Genomic DNA, 24146 nt, shown 5'->3' on the forward strand with positions numbered 1-24146 from the left:
ACAACCTGAGCTGCCCATCATGAGCTGGGTCTTATCTGATCCATCAAGCCATAAAGTTGGGCATGCACAGCAGAACTCTGTTGTCAAATGGAAGTGGTATATATGTTGGGCCTGAGATAGCACTAAAGGCACATGTAATTTATGTTAAATGTAAAAGGAAATCCTCCCCTGTGGGCAGAACTTTGGGCAGTGCACCTGGTTGTTCACTTTGCCTGGAAGAAGAAATGGACAGACATGTGATTATAAACCACTTCATGGGCTATGGCCAGTGGTTTGGATGGATATTCAGGGAATTGGAAGGTACATAACTGGAAAGTTAGTACCAAGGAAAAGTGAAGAAGAAACATGTGGATAGCCCTTTCTGAATGGGCAACAAATGTGAAGATGCATGTGTGCAATGTCAAGTTCCCACCAACAGATGATCTCAAACGAAGAGGATTTTAATAATTAAGTGATAATTAAGGATGAGCCATTTTGTGGGCACCAGTCAGCCCTTTTCCCTAGCAACCCTTGTCATTACCCAATGAGCTCATGAACAAATCAGCCATGGTGCCAGTGATGAAAGTTATAAGTGGGCTTAGCAACATGGACTTCCACTCACTAAGGCTGACCTGGTTACAGCCACACCAAGTGCCTAATCTGCCAGCAGCAGAGACCAACTCTGAGTCTCTTGTGTGGAACTGTTCACTTGATAGATCAACCAGCTACCTGGTGGCACGTTGGTTACACTAAACCACTTCCATCATGGACGGGGCAGTATTTTGTTCTTACTGGAATCGACACTTTGAATATGGATTTGCCTTTCCTGCACACAATGCTTCTGCCAAAACCACCATCCGTGGGTTTAAAGAATATGTTTTTTTGTGTCATTGCGTTCCACACAATATTGTCATAAAGGAACTCATTTCACAGCAAAAAAAAGGAAGAGTGACAGTGGGTAGAATGTTCAGTTAATAATTCTTTTTACTTTACAAAAATATATCATTATTATCCTGTCCAAGGCCTCTCTTTTAATTAATTAATTCATTCATTCATTCGTTCATTCATTCCATGCTGTCTTCATTTCACTTTCCCATTCTCCTTGTCACATCATTGGCTGTCATTCCAATGTGTCTGATATTTATCTTTTATTTGTATGTATTCTAGTAAAATACACTTTGAGTAAATGTTTTTTTAAAAGTTTATTCAATGACAAAAGTGTTTTTTTAAAACTTAACATTATATTTTATAGAATTTGTTAATATTTTATCTTTACATATAGTGAGATGTTTCTGTTGTTTTTTTATTTTTTATTTTTTGCTCAATAACAGTATAATGCATCCAGCACATTTTGATTATTCTTTCCTACAGTGACATGTAGATAGCCTCCAACTCACTTCTATATTAAACTATACTGCAATGAACATATTTTAAAATGTCCTTATGGATCTGTCTAAAAATTTCTCTAGATTATTTATAACCAGAAGCAGAAATCTATGACTGTTAGGTAATGGGGTATTTCAGTTATCAGACAGTTTGGTTTAGATGTATTATTAGAAATGTACCTTAATTTCTGTTAAAATCTTGCCCAAAACTTGGCAATCTGGTGGATATAAAGAAATTTATTATTGTATTTTAATTTTCATTTTCTAGTTAATAATGATTTTGAGCATATTCTCAACAATATTTTTCTTAGTCTTTTGTGTTTCCCCTTCTGTGATGACTTTTGCCCATTTTCTTAATATTTCTGTCTCTTTTGCTATCACAATTGTAGCAGGATTTTTGAGTACATTCTAGATATTGCTATGTTGTCAGTTTTCGAAATTACAAGTATCTTTATCATCTCTCTCTTATTTTTATTCATGGTGTTGTTTCTAGATAGCAACTTTATTGAAATATAAATTGGATACAATACACCCATTTTAAGTATAGAGTTTGATAAGTTTTGAAAATGTACTCACCTTTTATAAATGTGCTCGAATTATAACAAGAATCAAGACTCCATTAAATATTTTTTAACAAATTCTTAATTTTAATGTAATACAGTCTAATACTTTGCCCCACTTTTGTGTTTGGAAATATTAAAAAATTCTTCCATTTTGGTCAACCATAAATATCTTCTTAAATTAACTTCTGTTAATAATTTCACCTCTCACCTTTCAGGTTATTTTTATAAGCAGATTAAAAGTTTTTTTTTATTTTGTGGCTCACAATAAAAATAAAATTTTTGATGTGATTCTATTTTTGCAAAAGCATAATAATTACTGAAAATGTGGTCCCAAAATAAGAAAAAAACAAACAAATGAAAATAAAACTCTTCCCTAAACCCTAGCTCCAACATTGTTTTTTAAAAATCTTCTTTTGTTTTAATGAATACTTAGTAATTGTTCATATTTGTGGGATACAGTATGATGTTTCTATATATATATACATTCTATATTAACCAAATCAAGTTTTAATCAACCTTAAGCTTACCTTTTATATGGTGTTAGGTTGTAGTCCATTTTTCATTTTTTGTGCATACACAAGCCAGGTTTTCTCATCATCAACAAAAGTCTATTTTTGATTTGATTGTGTTTCTTCCTATATATGTAGATTTCTGCATATATGTGGTTCAGATTTTAAGCTCCTCAGATTCTGTTCAATTCGTCTGTATGCCAATACTTGCACAACTTGTAATTATATTTTTATTTACCTGGCTTTGTAATATGTCTTAATATTTGGTAAATAAAATTATTTTTCAAAATATATTTAGCTGTTAATTATAGAATGAGTTATTGACTTCCTAAAAAATCTATGGACAATTTTGATTGGAATTGATTAAATTTTATGTATTATATTAGAAAGAATTGTCAGCTTTATATTATAAGTCAGACTATTTGAGAGCTAGGGATATCTACTTATTCAAAACTTCTGTTATGCTTAAATTTTAAAATTATTTTTCTCTTTGTTCTAGTATATACTTTAATTCCTAGAAATATCGGTGGCTGTTGTTTGTTTTATTTTAATTTACTTTATTTCTGTTTTTGCGATTGCACATTATATCATTTAAAAATTATATTTTCTATTTAGTTATTGATTGTGTAGAAGCATTTTATTGATTTTTAAAGTTGATTTGGGATTCAAAAACTTCACTCAGTCTTTTTATATGGTTTGATACTTTTTCTGTCGGCTGAGTTGATTTTTTCATGTAGGTGAACCTGACGTTTGCAAATAATAACAATTTTATCTTTTTTTAAGTTATCCTTATTTGTTTCCTTTATTTTATAAGACTAGTCACACTTTCAGCGATGTGAGTTAAAATCAATCACTACAGTGTTTGATTACTCTATTTTTCCCTGCCATTTCATAAGTTGTTGTTTTATTTGTTGTGAGACTATTTCGTACCTATATGTGCATGGTGGCCCCTCCTTGTTTTATATGACATTCTTTCTTCTGGTCCATTCTTCTGAATACTATTTTATCATTTTTTCATCTCAACTTTTACTTTGTTAGTTTCTGACTAAGATAGTTTTCTATTCAGCCTTTTCATCCCTTTTTTAACAACTTTTCTTTATATTTTATTTCTTTTTGACTGGATTTCATTTTATAGTTTATTTTCTCTTATCATAAAAATGCTCTAGTACCATTCTTTTTCAAGTTTTGTTAACCATTTTATGACCTGTATCTCAGACAGTGCTTACATAACACATGTTGATAATAAATGTTTTTAATGCCTAATGGACTAAATAAATGCTGAAATAAAATATTTTATTTAACATTTATGTGCATTCAAAAATAATAATTATACCCTACCAGGCCTAGGTACTGCATAATCCCTTTTCTGCTCACCACAAATAACCATATACTCACATATCAATGACCAGAACCATTTACAGAAACATCACATGGTCTGTTTTAAGGTAAGCTGTAGGTAGGAAGAAGATGAAATCAGGGTCACGCCTTTGGGGGTATACTATTAAATAGGGACAACTATTTATTTCAGAATTATGGAATGGTGTGGTAAAATAAGGGTAAATTAAAATTAAATTTTATAGTTAAATCACAGGGTACCCATGGATATATTTCAAAATGCTGTTTCCTGAGTCTCTTATTAATTAACTTTGTTCAGTTGTCCTCTCTCTGAGTGTGTGTCTCTCTCTCTCCCAGAATTATTTTATGCTTTTCTGAAATCCTATGTTTCTACAAGCCAAAACCAATCTAATAATTATTTTTCAGATATCAAGAAGTAAGGAACTGCTTAGTTGGACTATCCACAGACATAAAATTAGAGTGTTTTTCATGTTTCTGTTGAAATATTAATTTTAGAAGATATATGAGTGCAAATAAATGTTTACTTTTTCAATTCTTTCCTTCTGAGACATCTGATTCTCCATAGGAAACTTTCCTTTGCCTTTTAAAATGCCTAATATTCTCTAATATTACGCAAAAAAGTTTAATCTCTTACAACCACTAATTCCTTGCCATAATTCGTGTTTATTTCCCATTTCCCAATAATCCCTTTCTTTATTAGTATTTCTGCCACTAGCTATTCCTACTGCCTCCCACAAAGCATCCAACTCTCTACCTTGCAGTTCTTGTCATTACTACCTGTGATTTCTACCAGATCTGAGGCCTCAGTTATTTTTTTTTTCAATAAGTTTGTTCACTCCTTCATCCAACATTTACTACACACTGACCATGTTTGAATTTCTGAGGATGTGATATGTAATGCATTTTTCTTACTAAATGCTATACCTTTTAAATATATGAACTTCCCAGTTTACCCTTTTTTAGTGTTTGTACTCTTGTAATATAATTATCTAATGCTATACTTGCTTTTACTGGAGACCTTATCTATTTTTAATTTTGATTTACCTAAAAGGAAGAAACCCTTAATTGATCTATGAATTTTAATTCCCTTTATGGCATTTTTAAAATATCAGCAAAATATGCACAGCTTGCTTTGTCCTCAGCAATACATACATATGCCATTATTATTTAAGTTTATTTTATTTTCCACTTAACATGTGAAAAATAATTTTTATAACACTTTGTCAAGTGTGAGAATTAGCTTCTGATAACAAAGTGAGTTTAGGTCAAAGCTGGATAATGCTTTCATTCTTAAAGAATAAAATTTGATCCATGAAAAACTGTTTACTTTTAATTGGAATATTTCCAAGATAGAATATTTTACATGATAGCATTAAACATACATTGCCATTTTACACACTGTTACAAGTGATTACATAAAATATGTAAGATACACAAGATTTGTTTGAGTTTAAAGCTTAACAGGATTAAACCAATAGCTCGTACACTTTGCAACTGTTCAACATCAGCCAATAAGGTTCATAAATATAATACATACAAACAGATGCATACACACATACCTTTATGGGTTTCAAATAGCATTTTTAAACACATTCAGTGCTTTGCTGTCTGTTAGGCTTACATTTAAATCTAATGGTATCATAAAATAAATAATTTGGTCTTTTACATGAATAACACACTCTACTAGTCAGAACTTCAAATTCAAAAAGAGTACTGCACATGATTCAGGATTTCACTTTAAATTACTTTGTAATGAAACTTTTTGGGAAAATATTTCCAACAATTAAAATTCAATAAATCTTTCATTTATTGATTTATTTTGTTGTGGGATAGAGACATGCGATGGAGAGGGAAGGGATAGCAGTGAACAAGATAATAATAAGGAGTCAATCGACACAACTCTCTGTATCGCAGTAGAATCTTATTATAATGCCCTTTTCAGAGGTAGAAATATCATCTTTACAATTTTTTTGTATTTTATAATTACACAGTGAACCTTAGTAGTATAAGACATAATTCTTTGTAATTTTACAGAATTGCAAGATAAAGAGTACAGCAATTTATACAGATAAAATGATAAATGACTCGTGACATTAATCTGAAGTAAATATATTCATATTTCTTTTTTTCCCTGAATAATCACTCTTGCCATTACTTGTCTTATTAGTAGGAAGTATGGTATTTTCCTCTTCATGGTTGTCCCTACCCTATTGTTAAAACAAACAAACAAGAAAACTTGATTGGGTTATTAAATCTAAAAAGCCCATTCTGCTTTCACACACCAAAAAGAGGGACATTTGTTGTATGACAAATCCATTTTCACTGTTTTATTTTCCTGTTGCATAGGATTGCTGATAAAGCAGCATATCCTTATGAATCCTTTGTGTACTATGGGTATGGCACAGACAGCCCATTCTCCAGAGCAGAACTATTGGAAAACTTTCTTAGTCTAAAAAATCGACTTCTCTGTTTCTTACTTACATGCTCAATCACTTTTCCCTAAAGCTCAAATACCATCCAGATGGCAGTGGCTAGGATACTTTCACTCAAGTTGCAGGATTAAACATTTTGCTGTAAATAGTTCTTTGCAAAAATTACTTTAAGTATTTTTAAAACTAAGTCACCAACCGAGACTTGTTCTCTCTTCAATAAAATTTTATTTCACTGGACTTCTATGTTTTGCTGTCACTAAATCTTCTGTAGGGTCACTATAGACCCAAATATTTCTCTAACTTTGAATCTGCAGAAGTTTGGTGATTCTATCCTGTGTTTGCCATAAGATCCTGAGCTCTATATGGAAAAAAAAAATCACCATTTTGCAAAATTTTTCATTCTGAAGGGACAGCAGCATATGTGAGTATATTAAATGCCTCAAAAACTTGCCAGGATTTTACTTGCATATATAAAAGAATCATTTTATTACTATTACATAGTCTTAAGAAAAGTTATAGGCCGGGCGCGGTGACTCACGCCTGTAATCCCAGCACTTTGGGAGGCCGAGGCGGGCGGATCACTAGGTCAGGAGATCGAGACCATGGTGAAACCCCGTCTCTACTAAAAATACAAAAAAAATTAGCCGGGCGTGGTGGCGGGCGCCTGTAGTCCCAGCTACTCATGAGGCTGAGGCAGGAGAATGGCGTGAACCCGGGAGGCGGAGCTTGCAGTGAGCCGAGATCGCGCCACTGCACTCCAGCCTGGGGGACAGAGCGAGACTCCGTCTCAAAAAAAAAAAAAGAAAAGTTATAACTAATGTTAAGGAGGAGGAGAAAAAGACAAGAATAATGACAATAATAACAACAGTCTTGGTTCACCAGCTACTATATTTTAATAACTTAGGTAAAATACAATACAGGTAGAATATATGCAAGATTTTCATAAACACAGATGAAATTAGACTGCAATGGTTTCCATAATACAACTTGATCTATTAGCTAACAAAAACTCTTATCTGAAACATCTGAGAAGGTCGGGGAGCCAGAAGGAAAATGCACAGTGGACACATCATGACAATTGCCATAGCATTCTTGAACCTTCTCTAGTTGGTCTTCAAGTCAACAGTTTTGCCATTCATAGATCCTTTAAACCTATTTTACGGATCTTGAAGCACACAGAACATGGCATGTGAAATCTGTATGAGAAAATTAAATAAGAAAAATTTTGAAAATCTCTGGGTAGATGCTTTATTCTATTTGCAGGGCTATAAAATTCAGTTGTGCAGTTTGTGTCCTGCCCAAATATGCTAGGTAGAACCCATGTAGGGGCTTCAAGCCAGCCCATGCTCCGTCTTTCAAGGCTCTGCATAAGTTTGCATTTAGCCTGGAAGTACAAATGTCCTTGACTAATTTGTCTTCCCATAGAGGGAACCATTTCTTCCAAGTAGTATATCTGGGGAAAAGAGTTTTTTGTTTGTTTGTTTTGTTTTTTAATAATTTGTGCAAGAGCACTTATGCTAATACATATCTGCTGGATGTCTTTTGTGGTGATAATAATAATCTCATAAATTTTTGCTAATTATTTACTTATGACTTTAAAAATGTACCCTTCTTTCAAATAATCTAAGCAATAATGTTTGAAGTTTGAAATATTTTCCATATGTCACTTAGTAAATGAGAATGAAAACAATGCAAATACATCAAATAAAGTGCTATTTAGAATCTTAGCCATATCAATGCAAGGTCAAATTGAAATGGATAACTCAGCTACCCGTCCAGTTAACTTAGAGACTTCTTGTATTAAATTACTCATTGACAGAGAAAAAAGTAAACCATTACTGAGAGTTTATTCATTCCTCCATCCTCCGGCTTCTACTTGCCTGTGTGGACAATACTTATACTTCTTCCATTTGGGCAACACATTCACTCTTGCTGCCAAAAAGACAGAATATCTGAAATCTGTTTTTAAGCAGTGTCAGTTTTTCAAAGTAATAGGCTCAACAAGAAGAAAAGAAACATCTGCTATCTGCAGGGTTTTTTTTTTTTCTTTCCTCCCAACATCAATCTAGCAAGTCTTTGGCAAGCAGCTTCTTGCACTCTAAGTCACAGAAATGTCAAAGGAGAGTGGAAATGAGAGTGGATACCTCTGTTGAAATGTCACTTTGAAAGTAAATAAAATCAGTTGAAAAAAGGCCATCTGAAAACAAGGAAACTTAGCGGTCAGGAGATGAATTTCATTGTACTCACACAGTTGAAGTAGCCACATACAGGAAATACACTTTTTTTCCTAAATTATGCTTTCTAGTTTTTGATTGTTTGAAATAATAAAGGATAATAGAAATAAATATAATTTTAAAATTAAAATTTCTTGAAAGTAATTAAGATTACTTTCTACTGAGTATAAATCAGCATTTTAAGTGAAAATATTTATTATATGGAAAAACCATCAAGTACGTCTATTTGTAAAATTACCTTCATAAATAAAATTATAGATATCAGAGGATTTCACCTTGCAATAAGGTGTGAAATCTCTAAATGCAGAATATCTGGGTTTAATTTTTAGCTCCTGCACTTAGTTGTGTGACAGTGGACAAGTTACTTATCAATCCAGTGGCCAACTGGCTGATCTGTAAATATTGATAACAATAGCACCTAACTACATTTTTGTTAGTATTAAAAACATGCAATGCACTTAGAATTGTGTGTAGCATACCATAAATATTCAGTATGCTTGCTTATTATCATTATTAATCAAAATATTCCTAATGATTTAACACTATCCCTTCTGTCATAAACCTACACATAAAGAAACAATTTTTTCTTTCAATTTTCAGTTACTACGTTGACCAAAAATGTTGACTCCTAAGCAAACAATGGTATTGAATTCATGCGTTCCTTAGAGAGTTATCAGTAAGCCAGCTGAAAATAGAGAAGACCCAGAAGAATCTTCTAATAGAGAAAATTGGTGGTTAAGACTATTCTTCAATCGTCCCAAAATTAATAGCAAAATTACTATCATTACAATTGAAAAATAAATAATCAGACAATTATCAGATATGGTTGCTTTGTTGAACTAATGCTATTTATCTAGCATATCTAGATATAGCTTTATCTAGATAAAGCTCTTCCACATCTCCAAAAGGAACCCATGTTTACTTAGTTCTTTTTCAGACTTGTCTACAGTTATTGTCCCTAACTCCTTTAATTTCCCATACATAATAATGCAAATTTTTGCATATCTAGGTGAAAGTCAAGAAATAGAATCACCTCAGATGATTTTGTTTGGAAGATTAGAGGCTAATTTACATGGTATTTTTATTAAAAAGTGCACTCTGTTTTTGTTTTTTATTTACTTATCAACATGTTGTATTTTACATCTTCTGTGTCCCTGGTTCTTTTGTCATAATTGTGAAAGATGGTGTTGGTATAGGTTATATAAAGATGGGGATGTGAAGTTTTTCCCTTCCTTAGTTATGACTCTGGTCTCCTCCATCTTCAATATTCACGTGGATGCAAATGGATCCAATACTTGGTTAGCCAATACTCATTTTTCAGTAAAATGATCTTTTTCCCCTAATACTTAAGTAAGTTTTTCCTTATACCTAATTTCCTTGAAGTAAGTTTTTTGTATTTTGTTCAAATAAAATTTCTAGGGAAGTTGATTAGTGTGGCATTCCTGAACATGCTGGATGTCAGCCTAGAGACAATGCTATATTCAGATTTTCAGATCTAATAATCCATGTTTTTTATGGATAAAAATGTCTTCCAGAATTAATTTCCTGCCAGATAAATTTTGTTGAAATATCTTAAAGTGCATTATAGTTAGCCAGATAAGTCAAAATAGAGGTATCCATATGCTTTACTTACTGGGGTATTTACCCCAATATCTGTCTGGCACTTGGTAGAAGGTAACATGGTAACTAGCTTCTGCCAGTTTCTGTTGAGCTTTGGAACCAGAAAATTTCAGCTAGGCATCATGTGTACTTACAACCATTCTCCATGCAGCATGGCAAGAGAGAACTATCACAGGGATATTTCTTAAATGGTAAAACAATTTTGAGACTATCCAATATCAACATTTTAAAATATATCCTCAGGTTATATTTCTGAGCCACCATGTTTGGTAATTTATCTTAAATAACGACTGGCATTTTCCAAATAGCATTAGAACAACAAACATTAAGACAAATTGCCATTAGTCACATTATAATTTTCAATTCTGAAAGGTTTTTTAATCAAAATGTTTTAGTCTATTTCTCTTTGTCTCTTGCTCTTATCTATGTACACAGTTTATTTCCTTTGCATAAAGGACTGGCCAGTAATAAAAGAATGCCCCAACAAGGCAACTTCTGTTATTGCTTTGATTGAGTGCTCCAGAGAACTTCCATTTGCTGAGTATGTAATATCAGATTTGGGAAGTCATTTGCCGTAAGAGCACTTTCTTTATTGTGTGAGAATTTTGTTTTTATACTTTCATAAGTCTTTAAACATTTAGTTAATGTATATAGATGTTTATAAATTAAATTTTAGTAGTTCATATAATATCCATAATAAGAGGACTTTGGGAGACTTAAAGTCTGATTTTCAGTGTGATTATTTTTACCTCCAATATACTTTATACAGAATGAAATACTGTTACAAATGATGGATCCAGAAAATCTTATCTGGCAACTTGCTGTTATTTTCAGTAAGCCTGATGATGAAGAAGAAAGGAAAGAAGAAAAGGTAAAACTCAAGATGTGCTATAGAGAAATGTCTTTAGATAAGCAACTCTGGCTAGATTACTTTTTATTAATATTCTGCTTTTTCTATTTGACATTGAGACCATTTAACTCATTCATTCTATGTTATTCCTCTTTGATCTATTAATACAAATTCATGTCCTGAAGCATAATTAAAATTAAAATAGTAATTGAAATTAGTTTTTACCATGGTATCTGACATACAGTCATAATGTTCTTCTAATAACATTTCATATGAAAACACTGTTATACTCTAGACATACACAAAAACCAAAACTTAAGCAGCTTTAAAAACTGCTTATGATAAAATATTTAAATACACAAATATATAATCTAATAAATAATGATTTATCTATTTCCAGTTTGAACAATAAACTCATATTCAATTTTGTTGTGTTTATCCTTTACCCATTATACTCCAAGAGGTTATCTTCGAAGAGATAATGACTGAAAAATTTCAAGAACTGATAAAAGACGCCAACCTACATATTCAAGAAGGATAAGTATCCAAAGAATGGTAAATCAAAATAAATCTCCATCCAGAAACAACTTAAAAAAAACACACACACAATAAATGAAAACTTCAAGATGAGATGCTACAAATACATATTTATCAGTACTTTAAAAAATTACATTCAAATGCTGCATAGCTGCAAAATTTATAGAAATTACATAGTTACATTGATTATCATCTACGAATTTAACAATACCTACAAAAATGGTAGAATAGAGATTTAGATGAATGCATAGAGAATCTGTCTAAGAAAATTAACAAGGTATATAGGTCCTATAGAACACTGAATCTAATACAAAATACATACTGTTTTCAAATATATATAGAATATTCACTTACTGTAAAATATACCTCAACAAATTTCAAGGGCTCGGAAGGACATTACAATCTGTATTACAGAGAGTATAAATAGATTACTAAAAATAAAATGGTGACCAGGAAAGTATAAGCTACAAAATTAAGAAAAAAGATTCCAAATATTTTTGAGTCAAAGTCACAGTGCTACTAGAAATTGGAAAATATTTATAAACTTAATTAAAAATATTTCAAAACTTATCAGTTAAGGTTATATTACTTAAAGAGAAATAGGCCAAATCAAGGGTCAGTAAACTGGCTTGTTGCTCAAAGCCAGCCTATTGATGTTTTTGCACAGCTATTGGGATAAGAATTTTTGAACACTTGTTAAGGGTTTAAAAGTAGGGTTTAAAAAATGTAAAGATATTTGACAGAGTCCATATATGTCCTGCATAAGTTAAGATATTCACTATCAGCCAATTTACAAAAAAAAAGTTTACTTATTTCTATATACATGCTTATATTAGAAAAGAAAAATAATGAACTGAAGAGAGCATATTTCCTAGGAAATTAATAAAGGACCAGTAAAACAAACCTTAAAGAAATTAGAGGAAAACAGTCAAGATAAGAATAGAGAGTAATAAAATAGAAATCAAACATATGTTTGCTATCAACAAAGCCAAAGCTGTTTCTTTGAAAGTCTAATAAAAGTGACAAGCTTCTGGTGAGACTGATCAAGAAAAAAGGAGAGTAGGCACACATAAACAATGTTAGGAATGAAATAGGAGATATAACTACAGATTCTCCAGACCTCGAAATGTTATTAAGAAGCTACAATGAGCAAAAGGGATATGAACAGATGCCTCAGAATGTTAAAAGTTAATAATATGAAAAAATTATGCCAGCATCTAAAAACACACATGATGCTGAATGCAAAAATTCTAAATAAGATACAAGCAAATAAAACTGAGCAATGTATTTGAAAAATAATACATCATAACCTAGTTGACTTTATTCCAAAAAGCAGATTGCTTGTGATGTTTGTGATAGTGACAGGAGGCTCAGAAATTCTAGGCAGACAGGGGTGGGTCCCTGACAAAATCCCACCTTCAAGCCATAAAGCCTGAAACCCGTGGCCCAAAGTGAGAACCTCTATCCCTGTTTTCCTGCTCCAATGTTGCCTTTTCCTAAACTACCAATGGCCTGCTCTGCCCCACATCCTATGCCTATAAAAACCCCAGACTCAGCTGGTAGACATGACTATGGCTGGACGTTGGCAAGAAGTGGCTTGACTTTAGAGAGCTTAACAGTGTAACTTTGTAGAAAAATCCGGATGGAGATGACTGGACTTCAGGGGAAGGTTACCTACCTTTCTCATCTGCTTTTCAGCTCCCTTTCCCACTGAAAGCCACTTTTATCAGCAATAAAATCCCACTCATTTACCATCCTTCAATTTGTTTGTGCAATCTCATTTTTCCTAGATGTCAGACAAGAGCTCGGGAGCCACAGTGGGGAAACAAAAGGCTGTCGCACTGGCCCTTTGCCCTCGCTAGTGGAGGGCAGCCACCTTACACTAAAAGGCAAAGGGCCCACTGAGCTATTCACACTTAAGCCATTTGCAGATGGCAGAGCTAAAAGAGTCCTGTAACAGGCCCTCTTGGGCTTCAGGAATGAGAGGCACCCCCTCCGGATGCTGCCAGTGGGCCTGCGTGGAGCTTGTTCCTGCCAGTGCCGACGCAGCAGGCCTGTTCCAGCCTTGTGTACTCCACTTTCCACCTCATTTGTGCTCTCCCTCCCGCAAGGAGTTGAGAGCAGTGGGCTGAGTAAACGAGGTACCACTGTTGCGAGTCCCGTGAAGGGGTCAGGGAAATACCCTGCTTCAGTTGGATAAACAGAAAGTCACAGAATGGAATTTACCACAGCAAATAAAAGAAGAAATACATTATTGTATCAGTGCATGACTAAATATCTAGCAGAATTCCATTTATTTTTATTGTTTTTAAAAGTATTTTTATCAAACTAAAATTAGAAGGGAAATTTCTTATCCTGAAAAAAAAATCAGATGAAAGTTATATATAAAAAAAAAAGTGAAACTGTATTGGATATCATATATTGATGTTAATCTTATTTAACATCAAAAAACCCAAAGAAGCCTACCATTAGTACTCATAACTTCTATTCAACACAGTTCTGGCATGCCTCGCCAGTGAAATAAGAGAAAACGGAAATAAAAACACCTTCAGATTCTTCTATAGAAAAGAAAGGGGTAAGCATTAGAAATAAATAAAAGTCATTATTCACAAATAATATGGCAATGCACATCGAAAAGCCAAAGGATTTTTATATATAATTGTTAGAATTAGAAATAAAAAATAATATTAATAACATTTCCCTATTTGGGTAAGAAAAATTGATACTAAAATGAAATATAGCATATTAGAGCAAGAAATGTTAGCTTTGATAACAAACCACTATACAAAGCTCACTGGCTACAGAATGAATAGGACCTAGAATTTGCTTGTTATTGTAGTAAAAAATAATTTAATTGTACATTAAAATAAGTAAAAGAGTATAATTGCATTGTTTGTAACACACAGGATGAATGCTTGAGGTGAGGGATACTCCATTTACCCTGATGTGATTATTATGCATTGCATATCTGTATCAAAATATCTCACATTAACACATAAATATATACATCTACTATGTACCCACAAAATTTAAAAAGTAAAAAGAAATCTCACTGGCTAAACAAACAATAATAATTTATTTTCAGTCAGGACAATAGTTCAGTCAGGTGTTCCATGAGTAGTCTTGTAAGTTATATTAATGGATCCTGCCTCTTTTTGCATCATGCAGCATCATCTTCAAAGACTTCCTCAGAATTCTCCACTCAACTTTTATATCCATTTAGCCAAAGAATATAGAGAAAACCCAGAGATTGCTGTAATTGTTTAAGAATAAGCATGGAAGTGACATATATCACATTAAGGGGGCCTTGAAATTTTAATATTCCTATGTTCCCACAAAAATGAAAAGGTTTCCTGATTATCGATCTGGTTCTCCTACAATAATTGTTTGTATGTGTGTGTGAAAAGTGTCAATAATTTTTTTCTTTTTTCCATATATAGAACTCACCAGCCACCTTCTTAAGGAAACATAAACAAACAAAAACAAAAAGTTTCAAATCCTACTGAAAGCAATGCATTCATTTCAGGGGCCAGGCTTTCCAGTTGATGTGGTTTCTTGTCTTTCAAGTATAGTCATGGTTCTTTGTGGAACAGAAATCTGTAAAATAAAAGTAAATTGTCCCCATTCCCTCTGCCCCACCCCCATACTTCCAAAATAGTGATTAAATAGGTACCAGGTAATGACAATAATTTTTCCCCTTCTGGGGAAGGGCGAATAATAAATCCTCAAGGTTGCCTATGTCCAGTTGGGTACAGTGGCTCATGCCTGCAATCTCAGCATTTTGGGGGGCCAAGTGGGGGGCAGATCATCTGAGGTCAGGAGTTCAAGACCAGCATGGCCAACATAGTGAAACTTCGTCTCTACTAAAAATACAAAAAATTAGCTAGGCATGATGGTGGGGGGCCTGTAATCCCAGCTACTTAGGAAGCTGAGGCAGGAAGATCGCTTGAACCCAGGAGGTGGAGGTTGCAGTGAGCCAAGGTGGTGCCACTATACTCCAGCCTGTATGACAGAGTGAGACTCCATCTCAAAAATAAAAAAAGAAAAAAAAAGTTGCCTATGTCCTAATTTCTAGAATACATAGTACAAAAAACCTTTAAAGTATGAATGAACTAATGATATTGAGAAAGGTGGACTCCATATAATCACAAGAATTCTTGTAAAAGGGACACAGAAGGTTCAGAAAAAGAGGGAAGATTATGTGAGAATGGAAGTCTAGAAAGAAAGGAAGATACTATGCTTCTGGTTTCGAAGATGGAAGAAGGTGCCACAAGCCAAGGAATGTAGGCAACACTTAGAAGTTGCAAAATGCAAGGAAACAAATTCTCTCTAGTCTTTGGAAGGAAGGAATGTGGCCCTGTGGAACCACTTTAGACTTCCAACTTCCAGAACTGTACGATAATAAATTTGTGTTCTTTTGTAATTTCTTACAGTGGCTATAAGAAACTAATACAGATTTCTGGTAACTGGAATGGGGGGCTACTTAACAAATAATTAAAAATGCAGAAGTGGCTTTCATATTGGGTACTGCATAGAGGCTAGAAGCATTTTTTTTTCTTTCTTTTCTTTTTCTTTTTTTTTTTTTTTTTTTGAGATGGAGTCTCGCTTTGTTGCCCAGGCTGGAGTGCAGTAGCGTGATCTCGGCTCACTGAAAACTCCACCTCCCGGGTTCACGCCATTCTCCTGCCTCAGCTTCCTGAGTAGCTGGGACTACAGGCACCCGCCACCATGCCCGGCTAATTTTTGTATTTTTAGTAGAGACGGGGTTTCACCACATTGGCCAGGATGGTCTCGATCTCTTGACCTCGTAATCCGCCCACCTCAGCCTCCCAAAGTGCTGGGATTACAGGCGTGAGCCACCGTGCCTGGCCAGAGGTTAGAAGCATTTTAAATGGTATACCTTGAACAGACTGTTATTAGAAAATGAATATTAAATACTCTGCTGGAGATAGCTGAGAAGGAAGTGAGGAACACAGTAGAGGAAAGCAAGATTGTTTTTTAGAAAACCTAAATAATCAGAACCAGAATTTTGGTAGTTAATATGAAATCCTCCTGTTGAGGGTGAGTACAAAGAGAATTATGTGGAGAAAACCTGTTAGAGAAAACCTAAATCATCAATAAAAGTGGTGCTGGTGAAGCCTCAGAAGCAATTGAAAAACATGTTGCTGGAAACTGGAGGAAAAAAGGATCCTCGTTGTATTGTGGCCAATCTTTGCTGAATTATGTCCTACATTTATGTGGAAAACAAAACTTGTAAGCAATGAACTTGGATACAGAGCTTAGATCTTCTACAAATTTTAAAGATGTGTTCTGATTTCTCCTTGCTGTTTACAATAAAATGAGAGAGAGAGAGAGAAAAGAATTGATAAATTGAGGGAAGAATGACTAAGTAAAACAAAACTGGAACTTGATAATTAGGGGAATTTTCAACCTATCCAGACTGAAGAAAATTTAAAATAAGAATATTCACTGTTTAAAAAGCATGCTTTAGAGAGATAACCAAGTATGTTACTGGACAACCTTTTTCTAGTGCTTCAGAAGGAATAAAAGGTCATAGCATTGAGTCACAAAGAAGGGTCTTTGAAGTGATTAGGCACATGATTCACTGATCTCATCAGTCACCTCGGCAGAAACCAAGAAAGAGAAGAAATTATCTTGAAAAGTCCTTTGGAAGAGCCCTCCTGTCTAATGGAGTGAGTCTCTGTGACTTACACAGGAGACCCATGAGATTCTTTGGAATGTTACAAGCATAAACAGGGCAGTTTGGACTGAAAAGGACAGAGGGAGAGCACGCTGGAAGAAGGCTGTTGGAACCTGAAAATTCAATAGTCATGTAACTAGCTAATAAAACTATTAAGTCACAAACTGGTGCTAGCTATGTTCATGAAAAAGGAAGAATGTCTCAGAGAAGGGAGTCTTGGGCTAGCATTGCGACAAAAAAATATATAGAATATACTATTCATAGAAGCACACAAAGATAGTAAAATCTATAAATAAAATCAGGTGAATGATTAACAAAATTTAGGGTAGTTACTAATTGTAAGGAACAGGTAAAAGGCCTTGGTGGTGGTACCTGAATGTGCATTTTGTTATTGTTCTTTAGCCTTTCCAAACATATTTTGTACTCACTCACACACCCTTGCACATAACTGGGAAAGCAAAAGGAATGAATGAATATATATATATATATATATATATATATATATATATATATATATACACGAATTTATTAATGTAAAAAGAGATATAGTGTTACCTTAAAGAAAACAAACTGGGAAAATGCTTAGTAAACCTAAAAGGGAAAGAAAAAAAGAAAAAGAAAACTGGGATGGGAAAAAGCAAAAATACCCCAAATGTAAATAAAATGGGGCTAAAAAAGTAAACATGTAAAGAGGATTAAAAAGAACAATCAGGGATATTTTGTTTATCTTTGTGTCAATAAATTGATAACCTGCATTATATTAATGATTTTTCTGTAAAACTACAAATAAACAAAGTCGACCTTGGAAATATGAACATGTCATTTACTGCATAAGGGACTGGAAATATTTTCAAAGAATTACTCCCAGTCATTCTACAAATAAGACAACAATGAGAATTTTTCAGGTGAATTCTATAAAGATTTAAGTAATAGAAAATTATTGACACTATTCTAGAGCACAGATTGGAAAAGGAAACCTCTTAATTTTATTTTACAAAAGTATATTCTCTACGATAGTGCTCATGCATGCATAAATGCACACGTATTCACAAACTATTGACCAAATTCCTTTATGAATATCAATCCAAAATAATTCAAATAAAATATTAAAAATTTAGAATCTTGGAACACTTTGAAGACTAATACACCATGACTAAGGAAGAGTATCTAGAAAGGTTCAATATTATGAACTCTATTAACACAATTCACCATATAAGTAGTTCAATTGTCATAGAATCTACACAGCTTTAGAAACAATACTTAATTTTGCCCAATATTATGCTGAACACCCTTCAAGTGTTTTCACAAAATTTTTTCAAATAAATAGTTCCCTAACATAATTTTAAAACCAAAGCATACCATATTTAATGATAAAACAGTTCTATTAAATCAGGAATGAGAAAAGTAAAAGAAAATATAATTGGGAACTATAAGGCAACATTGACATTTGAAGACTGTGTACATTTAAAACCCAAGAGAATAACTAAAAGCTATAAAAAATGTACTCAGTAATAGGACTAATTACAGAATTACTGTTAGATTATGTATGTATATAAAGAAAAACACACACACAAACATAAGAGATAACAACCAATATATTCTTGCAATTGAAAATGTTGGGAGAGGCTTACCTAGAAATTGTAGTAATTATAAATCTTAAAAATTTCATTTCTAGAAATGAAACCTACAGATAACTCACAGAAATATGCTAGGCACAATTAGAAGACTATTTCTTGCAGCACTATTTTGAAGAGCAAACAATGGGAATCAATTTTTATTGATAAAAGACTGAGGAAGATCATTACAGTCCCAATCATATATGAGAATAGTATTCAACTGATTAAAAACTCTATCAAAATATACTGGTTTAGAATAACCTTAAAATTAATTCTTAAAAAAGCAAATAGTATGTGTAATATGCACTATTTATGCAGAACAAAATATCTGTTTCCATGAGTCTAGAACATTTCTTGAACTATACATACATATAAAAACTGTTAATTGTGCTCTTTTGGAATGAAGATTAATGTCGTATGGCAATGGGATAAGACTTAGAGTTATATGTATATTGTTTTGAATTGTTTAAGTTTCATCATGTTTGTCACTTTTCAACTCAAAAGTCATACTCCTATATAGGGATAGAAGAATAGATGATGGATGGATGATTAGATAGATATATAGATAGATGGAACAAAATAAGTATAAGCTTTTTAGAAGACTACTATGGAAATCATCTCATTTAACAACCATCTTATTTGTCTCCTATTTTTTTCTATTTATTTTCTGGAAGAAACTAATTAGTTTTTTGTTTCTTATTTATCCAGACTTTCCTGCTTACTACCTCCATGTACACATCACTCCTAGTAAATTATCGATAGTTCCTTGTATACTCAGCTTTCTCTTTCTTGAGTAGTCACCTAATTTGTTTCCAAGGGTACATTTAGACTAATGTTAAACTTTATTTTATCTTACAGAACTCTGATTATCTGCACTGTAATCACAGAACAAAATTTTATTTGGCCTATACATTACAATCTCACGATCATTCCATCTATAACCATTGTTTACATAAAGTCCTAATTATTAGCCAATATATGAAGATTAGTAAGAATTGGAATGGTAAATTGACTTGGTCATTTAACAAATATTTATTGGCAACTTACCATATATGCATGGCATTCTGCTGAGATAAGGAAATAAAAGAATGAAAAAAATTCCTACTCTCTAGGCTCATATTGAAGGAGGTAAATAAACACATACACAAACAATCTTAATGCAATGCATGCTACAAAGAAGACATGCACAGAGTATTAAGGGGCTCGCAAAAGAAAAGCCTAACTGCATAAAAAGTAGTCATGGAAGCTTTTCAGAGACGTAACAGGCTGCAAGTGCACTAAAGAATCCTTTTGAATTTGCCTAATGTACAGAGAGAATAAACTAGCTAAACTATTAAGTGTTAGTGAATGACAAGTTCAGCAAATAGCATTTAGCCCAGCATGCCTGAAAGAAGAGCATATGGCATGGGTGGAAAAGTGATAAATCTTTAAGGTGAAGGGCCTTGTTAGATGTGCTTTAGTGTGCATTGTGCTACAAGCAGGGAAAACTGTTAAGTGAAATAAAAGTTTGGAGGACAGGGGGAAGAGTCATGACATAATCATATTATTGTTTTGAAAATATTCTGGCAGCAACATGGAAAACAATATAAAAAATGGACTGAAGCAAGGACAAGTCTGGAGTTGGGAGATACATTTTCCTGATATTGAGACAATTCTTTATAAAGGCTGGAAGGTAGAGTTACATATAAGAAGATGAAAGGTTGTAATACATAAGAATGTGGAGGCTTTGGGCCCGGCGCGGTGGCTCATGCCTGCAATCCCAGCACTATGGGAGGTGAAGCAGGCGGGTCACTTGAGGCCAGGAGTTTGAGTTACCAATACGGCAAAACCCTGTCTCTATTAAAAAAAAAATAAAAAAAACATTAGCTGAGTGTGGTGGCCCACGTTTGTAGTCCCAGCGACTCAGGAGGCTGAGGCAGGAGCATATCTCCTCAACACGGGAGGCGGAGGTTGCAGTCAGCTGAGATCGCACCACTGCACTCCAGCCTGAACGACAGAGTGAGACTGTGGCTCAGAAAAAAAAAAAAAAAAAGTAGAGGCTTTTAAGATCAACTAGTTCTGCCATTTAATCAATTTTAAATTATCCATACGCTGTCTCCAACAAGTGTTTATACAGCCTGTGTGAAAAGACCAGGAAAGCCAGAGGATTAACTCGGTACTTGCCTTGGTAACCTATTATGTTTTTTATATTTTGGACAATTCTCAATGTTACCAAATGTCATTGTAGCCAAAGTAAGCATATTCATCTATTGCACCTTTTTTTTAAAATTTTTAATGATTAACAGCCCTATTTTTCCCTTTCCAACCTCAACCTTCAAAACCACCCAGAGAGTGTGTTTTTATCCTCCTTGGACATCAGTTTCAACTTGCAAGGCTTTGGAATCAGTTTTCGCTTGTACAGTATATATGAATAATTAAGCTACACAGAGCAGATATATTGATTAGGGTGGACCTGAATGTTATAATGAATTCTGACTTACTTGATTGAGTAGAATTTTGTGCTTTCTTATGAACTGTGTTAAATAAAATTAATGATTGAGTATAAGCCTCCTTTATATAACTCAAGACTTGTATTACATAAACACTTTTAAAACAAAAGAATAATATCATGTAGTTGAGAAAATCTAGATAATAAAGACTAAAATAAACTAAGGCCAATTAAAAAAAACAACAACATAATTTTAAGTTTAGAAATATGTGTCCAACATAAAGTGTAAATACAACTACATAAACTCAAATGCAGTACTTTTGAGTTTCAAACCACATGGTTTTAATCATAATGCCATATTTACTGAGTTGATAGAAGGTAAGAATCAGTATTAACAGAATTCCTTAACTTATTAATTTCTTATTAATTTTAAATTTTAAATTTTAAACTTGTTTTTCCATTATAGTCACATAAATAACATTGTGAAAAGCACCATTTGAGATATAAAAATATATTTGTATAATAACTTTTATTGACAAGAGGATAATAAAAACCATGTTTTGAAAAAATAAATACTTGTCTCTGGAACCAAAACATAAGTTGGTAACTTTGTAATGCTGCAGGTGTTAAATGTATATATGCAGTATGTGTATATGCATACAGATAGACACACACATATGTACCCGCATATATGCATAGTGATTAGCATTGTGTTAAATATGTGATCTTCAATGTACTAAATGTAGAATCAGTTTTGCAGTACATTATCAACTCCTAGCTTTCAAGGCATCATCTATCCCCAGTAATTTTGCCTATTCTACTGATATGATTCCCCATAGTAATTTTTCACCATATATATGCATTTCATTATTGATATCCACTTGTATTGATACCTGTAAATAATTCTTCAGAATAAATTTTTCTAATTTAATCCCTATACTCCTCCCATGGGACAGGAATCTTACAAATACAGAAATTAAAGTTTCCAAGAGTTTAAAGTGTCCAACATAAAATGTAAATACAACTACATAAACTAAAATCCAGTACTTTGAGTTTCAAACCCCAGGGTTTTAATCATAATGCCATATTTACTGAGTCGATAGAAGGTAAGAACAGTGTTAACAGAATTCCATAACTATTTTATTTGTTATGCTTTTATTTTCCAGGCATGGTCTCATTTTCATTGGGCTTGGGGAAGTAGAACCCATAGCCATCAATCTCAATGCCACTTTCCCAGTACTCTTGGAAATGTTACTTTTTTTTTTTTTTTTTTTTTTTTTGAGATGGAGTCTCCCTCTGTAGCCCAGGCTGGAGTGCAGTGGCGCGATCTCAGCTCACTGCAAGCTCCACCTCCCAAGTTCATGCCATTCTCCTGCCTCAGCCTCCCAAGTAGCTGGGACTACAGGTGCCTGCCACCAAGCCCGGCTAATTTTTTTGTATTTTTAGTAGAGACGGGGTTTCACCGTGTTAGCCAGGATGGTCTCGATCTCCTGACCTCATGATCCGCCCGCCTCGGCCTCCCAAAGTGCTGGGATTACAGGCGTGAGCCACCGCGCCTGGCCAGAAATGTTACTTTTAATTATAATGATAATATCAAATTTCATTGGCAATAGCTGTAAAGATTACCACATTAAATCTGTTTCTGATAAACCGGTTTACTGTTAACATAAAAATATTACCCAATATATCATTGATTATTATCAATATATATAAATTTCCATTATCAAAATGTATTTCATGGAAAATCTTTTATTTAGGGTAGATTTTAATTCTGGAAAAAAGTAATTATGTAACAAGGGCATGTATTACTATTCATTTGGTTATGAAAAATCTTAATGCCAAATTTAGTTTTACTTGAGAAAATACATTTGTCTATAAAACTCTGCATATTTTTGTTCTTTTTAAAACCTCATTGTCTTATTTATAGCCATGATATCTTTTACAAGTGGATTTTAAGTCATGTAAAATAGATCTCTGTGTAAAAGTATGTAGAATAGATTATGATCTATGTAAATAATATGTATATGAACATTTAAAAAGTAAGAAAATCTGGATCTGAGAAACTGAGATATGTAAATTTTAAAATAATGTTCAAAATGTAATTTTATATTTCTATACAATTTTAAAATATTCATATAAGCTTTTAATAATAGGTATCATATGGTCTTGAAAAATATGTCTTGTAGTAGTATACACAGTGAACAAGAAACTGCTATTCAGGAAAACTAAAATTGTTTTAGAATGTCATTTAAGGACAAAGTTTAATACAAAGTAACTTCATTCTTATGGGTATAATTAAAAGCCTATCAAAAAAAGACCAAAAAAACAGTAGCTGAGAAATAAAAAGTGGTTAAAACCACGTAAATGGCAAATTTCTATATAACTTGCTTGGCATCCAATTTTTGTTAAATATTTAATGTTTCTAGAATGAATGCCTGCTTTTACATCTGTCTTCTTGCTTTTCTCTATAGGAAAAGTGAAGCAGATGGGGACAGTGAGACAATATAAAGATAATTCTTCTTCCTGAATGTGAATTCACTAAATAGTTAGAATTTTTGCAGCAGCAGTCATACACCATAGACAGAATGATAGTCCTATAATCTCACTATACATAGAGAACAGCTGTTTTATATATTGCATACTTTATTCCTTTTTTTATACATACATTACACACTGAAAACATACAAGACGATGTGCGTATATGTCTGTGTATATATGTATGTATATTCATATGTATTTGTATATATTTTTGTTTCCAGATTTTTTCAATTAATATTTTGCCACAAGTACTTTCCACAATGTTTTATTATATCAATATTCATAACGAATTGAAGTATAAATTATTAAACACTCATTTTTTTCATTTTTTTGCTTTTTAAATGTAAGATAAATAGTAACCTTTGTATCATACCTAAAGACACTGTTAATGTAAATAG

General features: G+C 33.0%; 1 long non-coding RNA gene across 1 annotated transcript in view; it reads left to right on the forward strand.

The window, feature by feature from the left end:
• Positions 1-10943, forward strand: part of LOC105370245 (uncharacterized) — a 79468-nt gene extending 68525 nt beyond the window's left edge. The window contains exon 3 of the long non-coding RNA XR_942035.1: positions 10848-10943. This is a non-coding gene — a long non-coding RNA (uncharacterized LOC105370245). The remainder of the gene's footprint in view (positions 1-10847) is intronic.
• Positions 10944-24146: the final 13203 nt, after the last annotated feature.

The sequence above is a fragment of the Homo sapiens genome, chromosome 13 (assembly GCF_000001405.40).
Source record: "Homo sapiens chromosome 13, GRCh38.p14 Primary Assembly".
NCBI classification, from domain to species: domain Eukaryota; kingdom Metazoa; phylum Chordata; class Mammalia; order Primates; family Hominidae; genus Homo; species Homo sapiens.